This window comes from Homo sapiens, chromosome 13 (assembly GCF_000001405.40).
Source record: "Homo sapiens chromosome 13, GRCh38.p14 Primary Assembly".
Taxonomy (NCBI): domain Eukaryota; kingdom Metazoa; phylum Chordata; class Mammalia; order Primates; family Hominidae; genus Homo; species Homo sapiens.
Genome location: NC_000013.11, coordinates 97,420,227 through 97,440,882, shown reverse-complemented (window position 1 = coordinate 97,440,882; position 20,656 = coordinate 97,420,227). Strand labels below are relative to the sequence as shown.

The 20,656-nt window shown below is 39.6% G+C and overlaps 1 protein-coding gene across 1 annotated transcript in view, besides 8 other annotated features; it reads right to left on the bottom strand.

The window, feature by feature from the left end:
• RAP2A (RAP2A, member of RAS oncogene family) overlaps positions 1 to 6,714 on the bottom strand; it is a 34,960-nt gene extending 28,246 nt beyond the window's left edge. The window contains exon 1 of the mRNA NM_021033.7: positions 6,099 to 6,714. Within this exon, the coding sequence (NP_066361.1) occupies positions 6,099 to 6,412 (314 nt within the window). The 5' untranslated portion in view covers positions 6,413 to 6,714. The remainder of the gene's footprint in view (positions 1 to 6,098) is intronic.
• Positions 2,493 to 2,686: a silencer, noted in NCBI's record as "fragment chr13:98090451-98090644 (GRCh37/hg19 assembly coordinates)". NCBI's record gives its function as "represses an EF-1alpha promoter that drives an FKBP-Casp9 reporter gene in an ReSE screen in HepG2 liver carcinoma cells {active_cell/tissue: HepG2}" and the evidence as "EXISTENCE:reporter gene assay evidence [ECO:0000049][PMID:32094911]".
• Positions 6,538 to 6,597: a silencer, noted in NCBI's record as "silent region_5452". NCBI's record gives its function as "represses an Ori minimal core promoter by ATAC-STARR-seq in GM12878 lymphoblastoid cells {active_cell/tissue: GM12878}" and the evidence as "EXISTENCE:reporter gene assay evidence [ECO:0000049][PMID:35858748]".
• Positions 6,599 to 7,530: an enhancer, noted in NCBI's record as "H3K27ac hESC enhancer chr13:98085607-98086538 (GRCh37/hg19 assembly coordinates)". NCBI's record gives its function as "activates a minimal SCP1, AML or CMV promoter by ChIP-STARR-seq in primed H9 embryonic stem cells {active_cell/tissue: H9 hESC(primed)}" and the evidence as "EXISTENCE:reporter gene assay evidence [ECO:0000049][PMID:30033119]".
• Positions 6,599 to 7,617: a biological region, named in NCBI's record as "H3K27ac hESC enhancer GRCh37_chr13:98085607-98086538".
• Positions 6,618 to 6,977: a silencer, noted in NCBI's record as "silent region_5451". NCBI's record gives its function as "represses an Ori minimal core promoter by ATAC-STARR-seq in GM12878 lymphoblastoid cells {active_cell/tissue: GM12878}" and the evidence as "EXISTENCE:reporter gene assay evidence [ECO:0000049][PMID:35858748]".
• Positions 7,128 to 7,177: an enhancer, noted in NCBI's record as "active region_7891". NCBI's record gives its function as "activates an Ori minimal core promoter by ATAC-STARR-seq in GM12878 lymphoblastoid cells {active_cell/tissue: GM12878}" and the evidence as "EXISTENCE:reporter gene assay evidence [ECO:0000049][PMID:35858748]".
• Positions 7,198 to 7,327: an enhancer, noted in NCBI's record as "active region_7890". NCBI's record gives its function as "activates an Ori minimal core promoter by ATAC-STARR-seq in GM12878 lymphoblastoid cells {active_cell/tissue: GM12878}" and the evidence as "EXISTENCE:reporter gene assay evidence [ECO:0000049][PMID:35858748]".
• Positions 7,478 to 7,617: an enhancer, noted in NCBI's record as "active region_7889". NCBI's record gives its function as "activates an Ori minimal core promoter by ATAC-STARR-seq in GM12878 lymphoblastoid cells {active_cell/tissue: GM12878}" and the evidence as "EXISTENCE:reporter gene assay evidence [ECO:0000049][PMID:35858748]".

Below are 20,656 nucleotides of genomic sequence, written 5' to 3'. Positions count from 1 at the left end.
ATAAACATTTGCTAAGAAGACAGAACTTATGTTGTGTTCTTACTACAAAAAAAATGAATGAATGAATGAATGAATGGATAGATAAATAAAGCAGGGGGAAACTTTTGGAGGTGATGGATAGTTTTACAGCATTGATTGTGGTGATTTCACAAGTGTATGCTTATCTCTAAACTCACTGAGTTGTACACATTAAATATGTCTGGCTTTTTGTACATCAATCATACCTCAATAAAGTGGTTTTTAAAGAAAAAAAGATCATGAAAAACACTGAGCTCTTCGAGTCATTTTCAAAACAAATTTCAATTTTTTGACCATTTAAATCCCTCTCATGAAAGATGAAGTGAGCACTCATAACTATTTCCCTCCTCTCATCCTGACTTACTAGTTATATTGTTTGTTTCATATTGTCAGTCTTTTTAACTTTAATATTCTGTTTGGCAGCCATAATTCTCACAATTCTTTTATCTTAGTTTTGTATTTAAGTGGATAGAGGTTTCACCATCAGTCCTTATCTTCATACCCAAATTCTTTGTTTGGATTTATGTCTGACTTTCAGGATTTAGTCATCAATTCTTCATGTTATATATATTTATTATTAAAAATTTTTCCTACTAATTCACCAGTACCAAAACAAAACAAAAAAAAAGTGACCCACAGCTATTAGGCTCTGTACCTGGGAGGTCCAGCTTTGAATTAAGTTTTGGTACTGGGGAAGCAGGTATTTTTAGAGGGAAAAACGGTAGCAGAGCTCCAGAAGTTTCACTTACTTGGGACAGACATCTTTTGATGTATACTCTCGTTTCGGCTCTCCAGCACCAAACTGTCATGGGCCAAAGATCTATGTGTAACAATTGGTAATATGCTTCTGTTTTAGAGTAGGCTTTAATAGCTACTTATGGTAAGGGGGAAAGTGTAAACAATCAGCCAGCTCACTTGAAAGTGACCACTTAAGTGATATAGAAAATTAATAATAATCTTAAAAAAAAACAACTTACTCACCTTGGGTAGTGCTAGTCAACTATCTTTTTCCCAATCTTAAAACACCCCACGCCTTCTCGCCTACTGCAATATAGGAAGTCTCCACTGTGTATCTTACAACTCTCGAGTTCTATCCTTGGCTATATTCATTCATTCCTCATTTCTATTGTTAGCCATATCCATTCATTTCTGTCTCTATACTCTACCCAGTAGGTTTCATCTACTCTCCCAATCTGAACTACGCAGATGATCCTGAGTCTTCATATTCATACATAACCTGACCTTTCAGGCTTTATTCAAATGTTCTAATTACTTATTAGGCTGGCTATCTGGATAATTACCATCTCCAAAACTGAAAATAATCTCCCCCAGCTATTCCTCCATAATCCTATTTGTTCATTTCAAAATGTCAAGGTTACTTCTGACCTTTTCCTCTTCCTCTACCACTGAGTTTGATTACTTCATTCTTTACAACATTCCTTGCATCCTTTCTCTCCTGTTACTACAGACACCATGCTAATTCAGGATTTTCACACTTCACGTAAAAACTGGATTATCACAACATTTATGACTATTCTTCCTGTTATGAAACAGAGTAGTCTATTACCACTAAGACATCTACCATATCACTACATATTGCTATACCTATGACAATTGTGATTATGGTCCTTGACTACATGATCAACTCCTAAGTCTTTAACCTTCAGTAATTTAGCTTTAAAAATTTTCACCTTACCTCCCCTCACACTTCTATATACATTCCCCATTTGGCCAGTCTGCTCTATTTAACATCCAAAAAACATATTCTATGCATTTCCTGTGCCATTTCCTCCATCTGGAATACATCATGTTTCTGATTCTTTGAGGTTCGTATTAAACACTGCCCCAACTGGAAGTGTTCTCACAGAAAGTTCGAGCTGAAGGAAGATCATCTCCATCTGCAAAATGAACTTTAAAAGATCATCTCCTCCATCTATGAAATCAAAATGTTTAGGGAAACTGAGGCCAAACAACAATACAAATACTTTTCTTTCTGAACATTCATTTTTTCAACATTTTTTCTTGTTTCCTATGTGCTAGTAGGAGCTGTGTCACCTACGTGGGCTTGGAGTTTTGTGAGAAAGGCTGGCTACCCATAAATTATCACACAAATAATTAAATTTGGATGAGTGCTTCAAAGAAAAGGGAAAGGACAGGGTATGTGTGATTGAGCAAAGAGGTGAGGCATAAAGTTTAGTAAGGGAAGACAGGAAAGGGGTTACTTTGGTTTGAGAGGACATCTTCCCTCAGTGGGGAAAAATCTTTTAACTCATCTATGCCTAGTGTTCCATTATTGGAACACTAAGCTTGTGGGAGTTATTTATATCCTACTGTTCAAGGTCATTGCTAAGGTCTGATATTTCACAAAAAACATTTGCAACCTCCGGTATAAATGGGTTAAGCAGGGGTGAGGGTGAAAGACGGAGTAGGAATTAACTCTGCAAAAAGGTAGATTTCCACAGGCCAAAGGAGAGCCCAGAGAAAGGTACTTTCAAGGACTTAAGGTCTGGGTGCTAGAATAAAAGGATGGGTGCAAGAGGTGAGGCTGCACAGGCAGGGAGGGATAAGAGCAAGCTGGACTGTGAAAGGTCATGTTGAAGATTTCTGGACTTTTTCCTAACAGCAAAGAGGCCTTGTATATCATGTTCCAAGAACTTCATGTCAGGACCATGGCTGATCCTGGCATGGGTAACAATGAAAAAAGCAATTACAAAATCAGAAAAAAATTCTAGTTTTATTTCAACTGAAAAACATTTCCTATATCCCTGTTACTCTTCTTTGTGTGTGTCATCTCACCCAAAATCAAGTTAAGAAAAGAAAGCATATGAATTTACAAATATAGCCATTTTCAGTTGGTCCACTTGGCTTTGACAAGAGGTCATGTATGTATACGGAGGTATGTACACTTACAGACACTTAAGGGAGTATGGGTCAGTTTCACATTTCTTAAAAGTGAAACATTTCAAGTAATAGCAATCCTTGAAAATGACTGCTATTATTTGAAATGAAAATGAAAAATGAAAAGCTCCATTCGTTGTTTGGCTATGCATTAGTGCTATGCATTATTGCTATACTGTACTTGAAGTTAAATGTTCATTCTCATGCCCTTTTCCATCAGATCCTTCATAAGGGGAAATAATTTCAAGAGAATACCAACACAATTCTTCCAAGGATTATTTTAACCTCATTGCTTTTTAGTCTCATCTTGAATATACTAAGTAATGAATTCCAAAATGCAATTACAAATTTATTTCTTCTAAAATTACATTTATATCAAGGGTAACATTTAAGGAAGATAAATGACAAAGTTATTAAAGTAAGAATGACAGCTAGAATTTTTTGAGCAATTTCTGTGTACTGGTATTGTTTTGGGAATGTTAAAATACATTATCTCATTTAATTCTAACAAGGACTCTGGAAGGTGCATGCTAATCTCTATTTCACAGATAAGGAAACTGAAGCTTAGAGAAATAAGCAAGCATTTCCCCAAATCATATACACCTTAGACCTCTGTTGTCCAATATGGCAGCCTGTGGCCACATACGGCTACTGAGCACTTGAAATGTGACTTGTTTGAATTGAGATGTGGTAGGTCAAACACATACCAAACTTTGAAGACACAGTATAAAGAAGTAAAGTACCTTATTAATAATTTTTGAATACTGACATGTCAAAATGATTCTATTTTAAATATGGTGGGTTAAATAAAATACATTAAAATTAATTCCATATATTTATGTTATTTTTAAAAAATCAGCTACTAGGAATGTTAAAATTACATATGTGGCTCACGTTATATCTCTATTGAAAAGTGCTGACCTAGACCTAAAGCTGAATACTGAATTTGACAGTAGATATCAAATACTGAAAGACTGGTAAAGAAGAGGCCACCTGCATTCACATGTCCTCTCCATCAATGATGGGAAGCCAGACGCTGGGGTTAGGATGAGGTGTAAAATACCTTACTACTACCATATTACAAAGACACACAAGTGAGGGTCCAAGAGGTTCTTATGTATACAACGGTTGAATTCTGGTGAAGAGAATTTATGAACTCTACTTCAGCTGATCAATGATCTTTTTATATCAAGAACTGAGACTAGTGAGTAAAATGATACTGGGCATGCAGAATTTTACTCTATGTTTTTCCTCTGGGTCATAGTGAAAATAAACAAATTGCTCCAATATGCTGAGTTTAGACTAACCTATTATTATAACTGAGAAAAGTAATCTGCACTAAATTACAAGAAACTACAAAATTATGTGGACCATATTATCCAATAATATTTTGCCATATTTGTTCCCTAGGCTTGTGTCAAGAAGTTAGCCATGGGTATGTGGCTTTATCAGTGTATATGTGCATCTTCATATCTTTAAGCATATATATCTAAATGTGAAGGGTGAGGCTGTTGGGGCATTTACTTAGATTATTTTTTGATGTATGCATTTGGCCTAACATTGACATGTGGCAATGTATCAGACTACCCTGCAGTTGGTTTGGTTTGTTTCTTTTTAATTGAGTGGTTGGGGGAGGGGGTAATAAGAATTTAAGTAACTTAAATGTAGCCCCTTAAATGCCATCCTCATACTAAGTTTAACACCAGAATTGTTCATCTCTTAACTATAAACATTTAACTTTAGGAAAATGATACTGGAGAAGTACAAAGCTATCAAATTTACAAATCTTAGCAGCAGAGACCACGAAAATATCTGCTTTATTCTAGTTTGGAATTTAACACAAGGATGAATAACATGCACGATTTTAGTTCAGCGATTAAAGTGCATACTCAGTTAAGGGGGGGTGGAGCAATAGAGAGAGAGCCTTCTCTTTGATCTCATAGGTTGCATTAAAAACTCACTACTCGTAATGAATTTTTGATCATCCCCTGGGTACACATAACTTGGTCCTTGCTCTTTCAAAATGAGTGGACTCAAACTGACTTACAATGTGACTGTGTCTACGGTGCACTTACAACCATCTTTCAGTAAAGGTCTTCAGATTTAGGCTCTAGGTAGAATAAGGCAGGAAAAAAAGGACACCAAAATTATCAGCAGGCATTAACTAACAAGAACTAGATGAAACAGTAATGTGTAATTAAATGATAATTAGAAAAATTTGCCAAAACTTTGAACTAAGATATTATCACATTTCTAATGCTTAAAATTACACGGAAAAATATATTCAGTGAATTTAAGAGAAAACAAACATTTTAAATCATTTATCAGCCATATTTCCAAAATGTATACTTTAGAAAAGAATTTATATATATATATAAAGGCTTATTAACATTAACTTTAAATTAGCTAATACTTGTGTCACACTTTTGAAGAAGCTTCTGTTTTGTTTCCAGGAACTGGTGGTGGTGGTGTGGTGGTGTTTTTTTTTTTTTTTTTTTTTTGGAAGGGGTTAAGGCGGCTATATTAAAAACAAAAAAACAAAAACAAACAGTTAAGCTGCATTCTTTTCCTGTGAATGGCTTATTTGTACTCCTCTGTTAATATTCTCGAAACCCCATTTAGCTTATGATGTCTTCAAATAATTTAATAATCTGTCTTTAAAGTTTTGCACTAAATTAGAGACTTAATTTTTGTAAAACGCCTTGGAACCATAAACCTTTAACGAGATGAGAAAGGTCTCCTTCCTCTGGACTTGACTTTACTGTATAGGTGTGTGAGCGATTTTTACTGTCAAACATTGCCAAGGCAGATTGTTGTTGTTCAGTCTGCAAATGTCTCGACTATACCTGCACAGTTCCTCTCTTCCCAAGACAAATCTATCCACCCCTTTCCCCCCTGCAAGTTTTAAACTTTGTTTCCTTGGGGGCTCTGTAACAAGCAATGCTAACAACGTCCAAGAGACAAAGAGCTGTTCTGTGGGCTAACACGATGCCAAATTTTAGTTGTGAAACAAAGCACTCAAATTTGAGATTGAGGAGGAGGAGCAGAATGACAATAGTAAAGCCTCCAGCTTGGAGCCACCCCCCAGAAAGCCCCTTCCCCGGAGCCCCGCGCGGGGAGTTCCAGCCCCGGGACGGTGACTCCGGGGTGCAGCCGCCAAGCCCCCGTGTGCCCTCGCTCACCGCTTCACGCGGATGATCTGGTCCCGCATGGGCTTGATGTCCTGGAAGCTCTGCTGGTTGACGAGGCTGTAGACGAGGATGAAGCCCTGGCCGTTCTTGATGTACAGGTCCCGCATGGACGCGAACTGCTCGGTGCCCGCCGTGTCCAGGATCTCCAGCACCGACGGCGACGAATCCACCTCGATCTCCTTGCGGTAGAAGTCCTCGATGGTGGGGTCGTATTTCTCGATGAAGGTGCCGGTCACGAACTGCACGGTCAGGGCGGATTTGCCTACCCCGCCCGAGCCCAGCACCACCACTTTGTACTCGCGCATCGTCCCTCCGCGGCCGCCGCCGCCGCCGCCGCCCGCGACATAGACCTACGCCGGCCGCGCTGCGCCCCCAGCCCCGGCCCCGGCGGCCCGCCCCGCCGCCTCCCGCTGCCGCCCCCACCTCACAGCCGCGGCGGCCCCCTGGGCGCCGGCGGCGGCGGCGGCAACTGAGGGAGCAGCGGCCCTGGGCATGGGCCGGGCCGAGCCGGGCGGCGATGCGGCCCCGTAGGCACCGGGTGGGACTGAGGGCGAGCAGAGAGAGAGACCGGGAGCCGCTGGTGCCGCCCGAGCCGCGGGCCCGCAGTGCCGCCCGCCCCGCCCCTCGCGCCTCCACGCCCAGATCCCCGCCCGCCGCCGCCGCCGCCGCCGCCGCTACCCCCAGCGCTCGAGCGCGCGCCCGAGCCCCAGCCGCAGCGCGGCCAGGGGCGGGGTCCGGCGGCCGGGGCGGAGCCCGCGGCGCAGCCCCGCCCCCGCCCCCTAGGCGACGGGCCGCGAGCGCTCCCGAGAGGCTTTGCGGGGCTCGGAAGCTTCTGCCCGCGCGGAGATAAACAAGCACCGCGACCGCCGAGCAGCGCCGAACCCAGCGCGCCCAGTCAGACCCCAGGGCCTGTGTACCGAGCATGCGCAGTTCCCGCCCAAGCCAGGAGCAGCGTCAACCTGAGACTCCCGAGACATTAAGAATTCGGAAGGGATGAGATGGTAGAGGGGCTAGAGCTACCTCCAAGCTTTATCCTGAGGCGGGGAGTGAAGGAGAGATGCCCAAGGCCCAAGAGGGGCCGCGAGGGCCTTTGTCCGATGCCACCCAGTCTGTCAGCACTCCTAGAGCTTTGGTTTTATCTTGTATTAGCATGTGAAGCTTTAAGGGGGGGGCACCTACAGGCTTCTGACTGAAGTTGTGTAAACGCAACAAAATGAAGCTTTGGAGCGTTAGGACATTGATGGGAGGGTGACGCCCCCCTCTAGCAGCGCGCCAGAGGGGCGAGTCAGAGGCGGCCACACACCACGGAAGTCGGGTCCAAGCCCGCTGACGTCGCCGGGGTCCCGCCCACCAACCCTCTGGACCCGCCCACATTTCTTCTAGACCCGCCCCTTTCGGTGCCGAACTGAAGTCGAGCTCTTCCCACGCCCTGTCAGCCACGGGTGAGTTGAAAACCTGGAGAGCGGAATCCCGAACGGCAGCCGGAAGGCCCTGGACTCCTCATAGCAACAGCCAGCTAGGGGCATCTAGTGGGAAGCTGGGATTCATTCTAGCCAACCACATCACGTCTCTGTACCACAAGGTACCATTCACGACCAATAAGAGAGCGCCCCCATACCACGTGCCTTTACTCCTTCAACCAATCGAGAAAAACGCTAGTCGTAGGATCCGCAAGCCCACCTCCCAGTGCCTTGCCAGGCGGGGCTCTTCGCGCACGCTCTGCCAACCAATCGTAGGTGAGCTGGCGAGTGACGGAAGCTTCGGCCAAGCCAACCAGAGCTCGCGAGCCCCTTGCCACCGAGGCCGGCGGGATGGAGACAGGGACCGGCTGCTGGGGTTTGGGAGGGGCAGAGATTGAGGAGCCAGTTGCTGTGCCCTGTTCTGGCAAAAGAACAAGATGCGTTGCAAGCCAGAATGATGAATTCCACTTTTCACGTCGCCTCCGTGGCATTCTGCCTAAATGATGGGCATGGAAATGGTGCTGAGGGATGTGGGCTGAATCGAGAACACAGGGACTTTTGTCTTCAGGGTGAGAAATGTTCCGGTCCTTAAGGAAACATCGTGCAGCAGTTGCATGGGTCTTCCAGGCGTTCCTCCCAAAACATTATTTTTTTTCTTTCACTATTGAGTTTTAAAACTTAGCGTTCTGTCGCTAGCATTGCATCTTAGTTACACATCCTCTCCCACCCATAACGTCAAATTTAGGAGACGATACATCCCCAAGCTTTCCTGCATTATTTTTTGCAGTAACTGGTTATTCAGTTTACTTTCTTTAAACTATGTCCTTCTCAAACTAGTCTCACCTGTTCGTTACTGTCGCACATTTCCTGCGAATAACACGTTTCTGTAGTTCTGTTGTTAGAGCCTGGCATACCTCTCCCCGTTCCTCTTTCCCACAAGGTCATCATGCAGAGGGGATTTTGGTCTGAGTTAAAAGCCAGGTATTCTTTCACCATCTTTTCTGTCGATAGTCAAACTACTACAAAGACTACTCAAATTTAGTAGTTTCTTATTTCCCTATAGCTTCGTTATATTAGAATGGATAACTTATATTTGCATTACCTTGCTGTAATGAACACACACCAAGTTTTCATTTAAAATTATCAAGGACAAATGTCCTCTGAATTTAAAAATGTGTATGTAGTAAAATATAACTCAGCATTTCTTGATTACATATCATTAAAATATGAATGGTACTATCTGAGCCACCAGAATCAGCAGTGAAGGTATTATATTAATAAAAAGGACTAAGAATCAGGACTGTTTTAAGGGAACTGGAACCGAAGAGGATCTACTATTTCATCCTAGGCTAGTTAACATGAAATAGTGAATTAAAATTGAAAGAGCTTACATGGATGCTTCATATCTGAGCTACTTTGGCAGGGATGTTTCAAGAGGATGTAGGTAAGTATGGTGTTCACCTAGCTTTCCAGAAGTCTCATATTTTGTGTAAAATTGGTATGCTTATTCATGGTTACTTTGGGTTAGTAGAAGCTATACTTCTTTTCCAAGGAAAGACAGACTGTCTTAAGATTCTAACTGTGCATCTTGGTGATAAGAAGTTCTTAGGGTTGTTAAATAGAGCCAGGAAGCGTGAAGCTTTCTCTCTAGATCATGACAACTCATCTAGTACCTTGCATTACAAAGGAGCTCTAAGTCCATTTACTTTGCAAGGAATGAAGTTCCAGTGATTAATGTTTTTGAGAAATTTGTATTGGGATTGTGGGGTCCAGAAGGTTGCCTTAAGTAACTGTTTTCATGACTCCTAGGTCCCTAGATGTTGAGAAGCTCTGGATTGAAGCTGTCACAAAAATAGTGAGTGGGCTCCGTAGTCACTCCATTTAGCATAATACAGAGTAGGACAGCTTTGTGACATTTCTCAGGCTATTTCCCCTGACCTCTCATCAATGCTGACGTTTTTGATAAGAAGGGGTATAGAGACTGCAGCCCTTGGGGTGGTTACAGTTCATTTATTTACAGGCCTTATATTGACAGGCCTCAGATTTCATGCTCAGTACCATAAAGGTTGATTTTTAACCACCAAGAGGCAAAAGAAACATGACAGGTCGGAGCATATTTTCTCACCTATTCTGGCTTAAATGATGGTACTTACCTGATTTGTGGTTGTAGGTGAAATGTTGGGTGAAAGATTAGCTGCTATAAAAAGGATGTCAGGACGTGTAGAGAATTTAGAGGACTTGGGTGGGAGATGGATGTCTATTTTCTAACCCCTTAGTCATGTTCATTCCGATGCCAGCATAAACTCTATTTTGAGATGATTATAGAAATAACTTATATCTTCATTTGTTTGTGGGAAATAAAAAATAAAAATGATATAAAAGAAATTTGAATTATTCCCAAGAGCTGTAAATCTGTAAGATAGTGAAAACTTAACGCAGTAACTGACACTGCAGGATCCCTTTAGTTTCCAAAGTGCATTGCCAGGAGAATAAAAAGAAAGAAAATCTTCATTTCTCCTCTCTCCACTAAATCTGAAAGGGAGTTATCTCACCTATAGCCAGATACCTTCAATTATCGCACTTGTGTTACCGTGGAAACCCAAGTCCATCCTTTCTTTCTGTAAAAGGTGTTGGAAAAGGTGGTATGAAGTGGGAAAGGTACTGTATTCTGGGACTTCCTGACACCAGCAAGAAGCAAATATGCAGATAATTTAATAGAAACAAATTAGTAGAGGATGTTTGTAATGCGAGGGGTACTTTTCGACTGTAAAACCCTGATTCCTAATGCTTCTTATTAAAGCCTGCATGCCTCTGATTAAACATAAAGGGGAAGGGCATGTCAAGTACATTTAGCACCTGTGAAACGCTGCTGGCAAGTATAAGGAGAGCAGACGATGGTTTCTTGACCTGTGAGGCTCCTAATACAGTTGAGAATCTGCAGTATATATGTGGAGTGGAAAGGAAGGGGCAAAATAAACTTTGTTCTTCCTTTAAAAAATGTGATATGTCTCAGTGCTTTTGAAAAGAAAAGGAATTAGAATGCAGAAATTAAGAGTATGGAAACAACTCAATAAAAGAAACGTATGGGTGGAGAGAGTAGATGTTTCAAAAGGCCATTTTAATCAGAAAAAAAATCTGAAAGAAAAGACGTAATGATTAAAATGTAGGCAGAAAAAAGAAAAAGCCTGAAGAATCTTAAGAGCTAGAGGATTCTGCGGAAAACAGAGCTTCAGTGTGGTTCATTTAACAAAGCAGAAGAGCAGGCACAGTGTTGCTTGCGTACCCAGCAGTTTCCCTTTATTTTTGCCAAAGAAGCTGGGATGAATCAGGATTGGACTTTAATAGCATTGCTTTCCCTCTGCCCACGGTTAGTCCAAAAGTAGGCACGTGACTCAGTTCTTGTCATTGGAATGGGGAGAAGGCTGCTAGGGCTGGAGGGATTTCTAGGATATTGACAAGAGTGAGGAAATATCCCCGTTTTCTGATGTCGCTCTCTTTGCTTCCTGCTTTACACATTGAAATATGAGAATGTGGCCTCCATTTGGGGGCTATGATGCATTATGACATTATGGTGCAATACTGTAGAAAGCCAGCAACTTCGGATGGCCAGGGAGGAGGATGGGAAGAACCTAGGTCCTGCATGACAACATTGGACAGTCAAACCAACATTAGAACTGCCCACATTTGGACTTATGGCTAAGTAAACAGCTGGTGTCTTTCAATTTAAGTGTGTGTTGGTAAGGTTTTCTGCATCTTACAGCAAAATACATCCCACCTGTTAACAAAAAGTATGAGGGATTCCAGCCAAAATCGGGCTTTAAAAAATCAGCAAGCATTTGTGAGCACTTTCATTTCACTAATATCTGAACGATAGTTCAAAGATACTATAATATTAATTGAGTAATTACTGTGTATATTTTTTAGGCTCTGGGGATAAAACAATAAGCAATTAGCCAAAAGAGCTTGTATTCTAGCAGGAGAGACAGATATTAAGCAACCAATTACATGTTTATATTATAAAATAATGGTTATGCTTAAAACTAATAAGGAAAAATCAGGAATTAGAAAGGGTATATAGTAATTATATAAATAATAAAATATTACAAAATATATAACTAAATAACTGAATGAAATTACAAAAACAAACACTTTCCAAGTAAATGAGAATGAAATGTATAGTTTTTACTGACATTCCCAGAGGTCGAGAGAAACAGTAAATTGGAGTAGGTTAGTCCAGGAGAGTTGTCTGAAGCAAATTAATATTGTATCAGGTTTTGAAGGAAGTGGCGAAAGGACAGGCTAGATGGGGCAGAAGAGAGCACTCTAGATGTAAGGAACCAGAAGAGCAAAGGAAGAAAGCAGGAATGAAGTAAGAGTGAATGAGGGAAATACCAGAATCACTTGATTTTTTAAATTCCCTGTAGCAACAGCATTCTAGGGGCATCTCTCAGAGAAAAAGACAGAAAGATGCCAGAAGTCTCAAAGCAAGATTATTTAAAGGTATAAAAATAATATAGGAGAAAAATACAGAAGACAAAGTAGGAGTACAAGAGTGCATTTGAAATTAAGGCGTCATTCAAAATAATGAATAATTTATAATGTGGGCGTCAAAAGAGTTGTCATAAGAAGTAATTATGGATTTAAGGGCATCAAGAAGGAGGGATTCAAACTTTCACAAATAGAAATAGAAGGAAACATGAGGAGTGGCAAAAAATGAAGACAGGTAGAAAAACAGTTTTTGCTTGTTATTTTTCCATGATAGCTGTTATTGACATGCATTATGTAGAAATGAATGGAATTTGTTTGAAAAGAAAAATTTCAATAGAGCAGTAATACATAAAGGTAGGCTTTTTGGTAAATAGTGTAATTTAAAATGTTTTCACTAGAATGCCTTTTTGTACCTTCCTGTAGGAAAATCTTTTCAACAAAAAAAGCTGTAAGTCATAATAAGTTACAGATTAGCAAAGCATTTTTGAAATAAAAAAAAACCCATAGATGTGCCAAATGTAATAGTAGAGCAACAATAATAAATATTTGTAATAAAAATCAGAACTTGTTAGGCATTATGTGGTTTCTGGTCAAATATGGTTGTACTAATTTTTCTAATGCTATTTTCTGTACAAATATAAGAATTTTTTAAATTAAGCTATGGTAGGTATATGAACACATCTTGATATTACTGGAGGTAGGATTTACCACTCACTTTTTGTGACCCCAAGTGTAACCCTGAACAGACTTCTGTCTTAACACCAATAACACATGATTGCACTGTCTTCTCCAGTGACTGGGGAAAGGGACAGTGCTTTGTTCATTTTTGCTTTACCAGCATTCAGCACATCGCCTAAAAACAATTGTGGGAATTCATAAAATGTTTGTAAATAAATGAGCAATTGAGTGGACTATAATGTTGCTTCTAAAAACCCTGGGTTTTGAACACAGAGAAGATGAGAATAAAAGGAAAGGAATAAGGATTTTCCCCAAATCAAGGTGAGGTTGATGTAAATGTCCTCCAAAGTTGGTCTAATCTCCAAAGAAGCTTGTATCTCAAAAACAGTAAGTCTCCAACAGGCAAAGTCAATGGCAGTTTGTAGACCTGGAATTTAGGAGTGCCAGGAAAGATCTGAAAAATCATGTCTTCTATCAACTGACTGTTGTCTGAAATTCTGCACTTAGGTTTTAGTCTTTTGATGTAAAAGTTATTTTTTTCCAATTAAAATGTAAGTAGGAGATATACAGTTAAATTGTACCATCAGTCTGTCAACTTCGGGGCATGCAACTATGCTTACCTGGATGAAAAAGAAAATGAAGAAAGTAAAATAGAAGAACGTAGTTTAAATTGGGGGATAAGTCATGGCATGAGTATGTGCCCAGAGCGAGTATAAGAAGGCCATGGAAATCCACTGTATTTTTGTCATACACTTATTAATTTGTTTCAATAAGGTTAATCACTCCACATGGTGTAACAAGAAAAATAACAGCCTTTACAATTACTAGATTCTTAAACTTATTTCAAATACTTTTTAATTTTTATGAGATTATAAGAATTTTTTAAACTTTGAAGCTGCATGCCTTGTCTGATTCCTTCCATTTCTCTTCTGCTTCTCACATTATTGTGTTCAGCAATGGTTTGGAGGCATCTTGGGGAAGACAGAGCAGAGTTATGGTGTAAGGACCATCCAACTCTTCTCAGCAGCCATCCAGTTATCTTGTCAAGGGAAGTTACTCATCCTGCTCTCTAGAATTATCTCCTCAAAAATCGGTTTCCTGCTTTTCACAGAACAGTACACCATCTTTTACTATTATCCTAATTAATGCTTCTCACACAGCCTTACAAAATATTAGTCACTTAATTATTAACCACATTCATTGGGCTGCACTAGTTGAAAAAGATGTCTTGTTTACTTAGTCAAAGCGCTGTCTCTGTGCAATGGCATTGATGGTGAAATTGATCAGAGTCTACGTTTGAATGAGAGAAGCTGAGGGAGACATTTCAGAAATAGTAAGCCTTTTTATTTCCTTGGTGTACCAGGTAGTCAAGGAAAGTTAAAGTATTTTTTTATACTTTGTCTTGATTACATTCTTTTGGGGACTGGTCTCTGGTGTTAGGTTTTTAATAAAGATTTTGGCCATTTTCCATGCAAACTAATGTTTCCAATGAAAAGATACAACATTGCATGTAAATTACCTAAGAAATATTAATCTGTCAATGTAATTAAATTATATAAGCAACAATTAGTTTCAAAGCTGGAATGGATTAAGTCAGTTCTATACTGCACACTGACAAAGTGAAAGGAACTAAAATGGACAAATTGTGGTGCTGTAAGGTTATGATTCTTAAGATTTTTATATTAAAGTTGCAGAGTTTCAAAGTGCTCAGTGCTGCTCTTTACATTAGGGCTGTAGACTCTCTTAAGCCCGAGGATTCTATCTGGATATGTGATTGATAGGGTGGAGGCTGGGCTGAGGCTTAGTAAGACATTTAACCATGCTTTGTATAATACTCCTTAAATGTTGGCTCTCACAAACATAGAAATAGCGAACATTAACTAGCTCTCTGTTTCAATGTCTACCATCTACCTGTCAACTTAAAATCATGAAATCTATAAATTTGGAGAGGAGAGCTTTATTTCTTACCAAGAGTTGCAGCCAGCAGGGTGGCCATCCTAACTGGCTGGGAAGTGTAACCTCAGGCAGAGACCAAAAGCAAGTTATTCAAGGGAGGATGAGATAGGAATTTATGCTGAATGGATTGGCCAAGTATATTTATTTAACAGATTGTAGGAGGAGCTATACATATCCATGAAGAGGGGGCATGTGCATGAATAGTAAGCAAACATGGATGTTACATGCATCCCTTGTTCACTTTGGGGTGCAGACTTCACATTTAAATGCATTCCAATTAAGCCCTATATGTCAAAAGGTGAAGCAGGGACAGGAAGGCACTCAGTGCTCAGCCTCTGTAAACCAGACAGAACCAGAAGATGGTCAGTGGTCTCTTATCAGGAGAAAGTTACTGAAATCAGTCTTTTATCCAATCAAAGCTGTAGCTGTGGCTTGTGGAACAGAGGGGTCAGTTAGTCAGCATCTGGTGCTCAGTGAGCTACGATTGTTTCAATACTGCTTATCTTGAGGCCAGTGCTTGTTTAGCTGCTAGAGAATAAGAAAAACCTGTGGCAATTAGAGCATAGTTTATTCTATAAGGGTAGGGGTACGTGACTTCAGCTTTTTCTGGCATGGCCTTAGGTCTCATTTATTATTTGGTACTTTATTGCCACAAGGAGTCTGTTCCATTAGTCTTATGATCTCTATTTTAACATATCTATTTTGTTTTTTTCCTCCACTTGATTCCAGAAGGACTAAAGTACATTTCATAAATACATACAAGATAAATAAAAATAAGAAAACCTTCAATAAAAATGATCTATATTAATACATTTCCAGTTTTAGGGTCAAATAGATTGTTTCAAGAAACCTTAACATTATCTATTCAAAATAAGTTTTTTCAGAAACTGTGTTGCACATTGGTGTACATCTCTTTAAATAGATTTCACCTTGGCATTCACACTTTGTCTGGCTCTGTGTGTGTTAGGGTTGGGGTAGGGGGAGCATTGTTAATGCCCAAATCCTTCCCAAGTCTCATCAGTGAATAGTCTGGGGGAAGGAGGGTTGGGAATGTGTATATTGAACAAAATCCTCTAAATGATTCTGACTTGCCTCTGGGTTGAAAATCAATTTAACAATACTATGTGTTTTCTGAAGTAAAAGTCACACTTAAAGTAACTGGTGATCTTGGAAATTTTTACCAAGGATACTGACTAATGAGATGGCCTACCCCAAATCCAGAATTTAACTTAAATTCCACCTCCCCCTGTTTTCCTTAAACTAATCTCTCACCATATTTTCCAAAAATGTTATACTTTTCTTCTCATATGTACTGCAATTTGTCTTGCATTGTATTTATCTTTGTGATTTCAGCTAGTATATGGACTCATGGATGTCTGATGGGGAGGAGGGTGGAGAATCTATAAGTTTTTTCATCTTTCTAATCTTTATTATGCTTTAGTCAATAGTATATATTCAATAAATGCTGAATGAATTGGATTAAATATAAAACATTAAATGTTATGAAAAGTATGCTTAATTTTCAAATTATCAAATGATTCTCTCTATTGAAGGGAAATCAATGGTGTTTTTCAACTTTGAACTGAAACTCTAAACTATATGAAATCATAACAATGTGAAATTTTAAACAGTATTATTCTTCATAAAACAGTAATATAGGCTTTAATTCACAAGAACTGCAATGGGGTCTCATCCTTTAAGCAGTCATTTTTAATGTTCTAACCAAATCCTTATACTAAAACAGAAACAACTGCTGAATGTGATAAAGTAATGGAAAATATAGAAAAACTCCCATTTTCTCTATCTCATTGTGTGTGAAATCATTCTTAAAAAGAATCACTTCCACTTCTATTTGAATCAAAAATAGCCAATAGGGCAATTCTAACTGGTTAAAAAAAAAAAAAAAACCAACGAGAATAAAACAAATCACCAAGGCAAACGAGTTTTAAAAGATATGAGTCATCAAGGTTAAAAAAAATTAGAAAAATATATAAAAACTTACACATGTCCTTGATATAGTTTTGTCTTGTGTCCCCTTAAAATTTCAGTAGCTTTTCTTGTTGCTTAGAAATCAAGGACATCTGATTGGCAGGACTTTGACAAGCTGCCTAAAGGAAACTATGATGTTTTCAGTCCCCATATTAAAGACCCCCTTTTACATTCCAGCTGAGGGCTGGTATAGGCAGGATAGGAAAGCTTACAGATGGTGGGAGGCACAGAACCTTCATAGGGGCTGAGGCAAGAATATCCAGAAGACAGGAGAGAGAATGAAAGATGCCAGCCGCCTCATTGTGAGTTCACAGTGGCTGCCTTGGTCGGGAGCTTTTGGCATGGTTCTCATGAATTACACAATCTAATCTACTTCTGTACAGAAGATTTTAGAGGCACAGTTGAGTGTGCTAAAATGGCATTACTACCTACTCAGAACATGATGCTTCTGTGTGCCCATATGCCCAACTTATTTTCAAATGTATTTGAGAAAAATAGAAAATAGGCATTCTTAGTACTAGAGACATACAATAAAAATGCGCATGACTCTATCCATTTGTAGGTTTCTTGGGAGTTTTATCAGGCTCCAGGGGACCCATGTTTGTAGCACATGAGTTCTCTGGTCGTAGATCGTTGATGTGGTCATTGGCACACGGTGCCTAGCTCATGAGCCAGTAAGATTTGTTTCCTCCTAGGAATTTAGAACTGGAGTCCAGAGGGTGGGGCTGGGCATTTGAACTAGGAAGTAAGGAAAGCCACACTGGGAAAGCCTTTGATGGGCTGTGTGTACAACTCAGCGGAAATGCCAATATACAGAGAAATGTCAAAGAATAAAGTCGATTCTTAGAGAAGTAGTGATGGCTCACTTAGTTCCTGAGAGCTTTCCTACTCATGAGGAGATCCAATTGCATTTTCTACCATTGGCATTGAGATCCCCGCCTCTACCCCAACATTACACTAAATTTTCCTTTAAGTTAGTATCAGTGGTTTTCTGGTTTTCTATTACAACCAGAAGGTTCCTGAAAAAGACAAAATTATCCTGTTAGATCATGTTCTCTTATATCTCTGTTAGAAGTACATTGGAAATGAACAGCATTCTATTGTCAGTTTGTCAGCATTAATTATAAAGTATGGCCCAATAATTTTTCAGAACCTAATTGCATATAGCTGATGACAGTGGCTTCTGGAGCTGTTTTATGATAGTGTTAGTTAGAGAGTCCTGCCAGATTCCCTGGAGGAGATAGTTTGTCCTTTCTGTAATGTTGGAAATAATGTCTCTCGTGCAGGTTTAATAACAAGATGCAGTGCAAAAGCTCCAGGCACTAGCCAGGTCATGTGACATGAGGCTTGGGATCAGCTTATCTCACAAACCCAGACATAGAACCCCGTGCCAGCCCCACAACAAGTGGACAATCCAGGAGGATTTGAGTATTTCCTCAGCTATTCAACAAATACAGAGAGGTGGTTTGCTTCAATAACAATAAATAGTTATTTATTGTTGTCCTTATGCAACAACAATTCTCCAGTTGTCATCTGGAGAAACTGAAAAGTAATATGAAATCATCTAGTTCCTCTTTAAGACAGTACTTGGGATCCTGTGAATGCAAGGATTTCCTTATTGTCCTACCTGCAGGGAGGGGCATTCAGGGCTTCTGGATCATAGCCTCGGTCACATTTTAAAACTTGACATAATGTCTAAAATAGCTGTATTTATATTTTAAATTAACTTGAAAATGAAACTGCTAGACCATATAATTTACCTACTAAATTTGGACACTTTTGAGAGTAAAACGGGATGCTATTAATAATAAAATGAAAGCAGGCCTTGGAACTGACCCAGGCAAACTGGATGATAGTATTACCCTATTCTTAGGTTTTGCATTCTTGGTTTGTGAGTAACTCACATATTGGGAAGCCCAACAATTTTTGGCACGGTTTTTGACCAAATCAAATTTTAGCCGCCATTTTGGAGTATGGCCCACGATCCCACCACGAGTCACTAGCTATAGAAATGAGCTTCTCTAGGGCTTCAGCTTCTTCACCTTTACAATTGAATGGGTAACTCCAAATCCCTTTCAGCACTGAATAGTCCGTAATCAATGACACATCTATGAAAGAGTTTTACTTTTTGGAGAAATTTGTATTATTTTGATTCATATTCAATATAAGATACAGAATATGAATATCCATAAAAGAATATTATGAATAAGGTTTGTACACATTATAAAATCATACTGGGCAGCATGGCGTAGCAACAAACACCTGGACTGGAATCTAGCCACTTATTTCCTCTGTGAATTTGCCGAGGTTTCCAAACCATCCTGGATGCCTAAACTGGAATACTTTCAACTGTAAAATGGGCGTAAGAATAACAACTTTTTAGTAATGTTATGAGAATTAAGTGATATGTAGTGTGTGAAGGTATCAAATATATACCACATAAATAGATGTATATGATCATTAAATACTAGTTCCTCTTCCTATTAGAAGGTTAGTGTCATTATTGAATATTTAGGTCATAAATGTGCACTGCACCTTCTTATAACTAAAGTAAGAATATTGCCAATGAGTTTCTCTATTCCCAATATTGGCTTTTATTGACACAGAGAGCAATTACGTCGGATGGAAGCACATCCATGATTACAGGCATCATCAAAGTCAAACACACCTGGACCCAAAAGCCCTCTTTCTTCTTTTAGATATATGACATTGGGAGGTTACTTAGGCTTACAGAGTCTCTCTTCCCTTATCTGCAACAATGAATGAGATAATGTGTATAGATCACGTGGCACAGGTCCTAGTGTATATTCAATAATATGCATTATTGTTACTCATTATTGTTAATATGGGAGAAGAGAAATTAAAAGTCTCCATTTAAAGGTGAGAGAGATGTTTCCATAAGAAGAGCTTATAGTGCATGTGGACTTCAGAAGTGACTATAAGTGAAGAATAATAGTTGAGAAAGCAAACCCATGAGCATGTCGTGGGTTTAGCATTATGCTAAACAGCAGCATTGTGCTATTCCCACTGAGAATAATGTCTTTCATGGACATTGTGGAACGATTATGGACTGGTCATGATACTATGACTCCTGAGAATTCTAACACCTTCAGATTCACAGTAGGGCTGCAGATGTGTTTTACCCATCCAGGGCTCCTGACAGTGAAATCAAAGGCTTGGATTGATAAACTCTGCGAACAATGTGTATTAGTCCGTTTTCACACTGGTGATAAAGACATACCCAAAACTGGGCAATTTACAAAGGAGAGAAGTTTAATGGACCCACTGTTCCACTTGGCTGGGGAGGCCTCACAATTATGGTGGAAGGTGAAAGGCACGTCTCACAGGTGGCAGATGAGAAAAGTGAGAGCCAAGTAAAAGGGGTTTCCTCTTATAAAACCATTAGGTCTCATGAGACTTATTCACTACCACGAGAACAGTATGGGGGAAACCACCCCCATGATTCAATTATCTCTCACTGTGTCCCTCCCACAACATGAGGGAATTGTGGGAACTATAATTCGAGATGAGATTTGGGCGGGGACACAGCCAAATCATATCACAATGTTAAGTTGCTCTTAATCGTTTTATTGATGAAGTACAACAGGTTGATTAGTAATACAACAGTTTTATCTGAGCCTCACTTATCTGTTTTGTAAATGTTATTTTGGAGAAAGCCACTCCTACAATTTGTTTATAAGAAGTCTAGCATGGAGTATTGGTGATCACATTTAGAGAATTATAACTGTGATATTAATGAAGACTGACAATGTGGATGATGACGATCCAATTCATGTGCATCAGAAAAAAAAAAATCACAACTTGATTTTTCTACCTGCTTTGTTTCAATTAATCCTAATTTTTAGAAAACAGACAAATGCAAGACCCAGACAAGGGTCTTTGCTTAGTAAAGATTTGGAATTTTCTCATGCCAAGAGATCCTTTTCTGAGGCCTTTTCCAATTGAATCCAAAGTTTG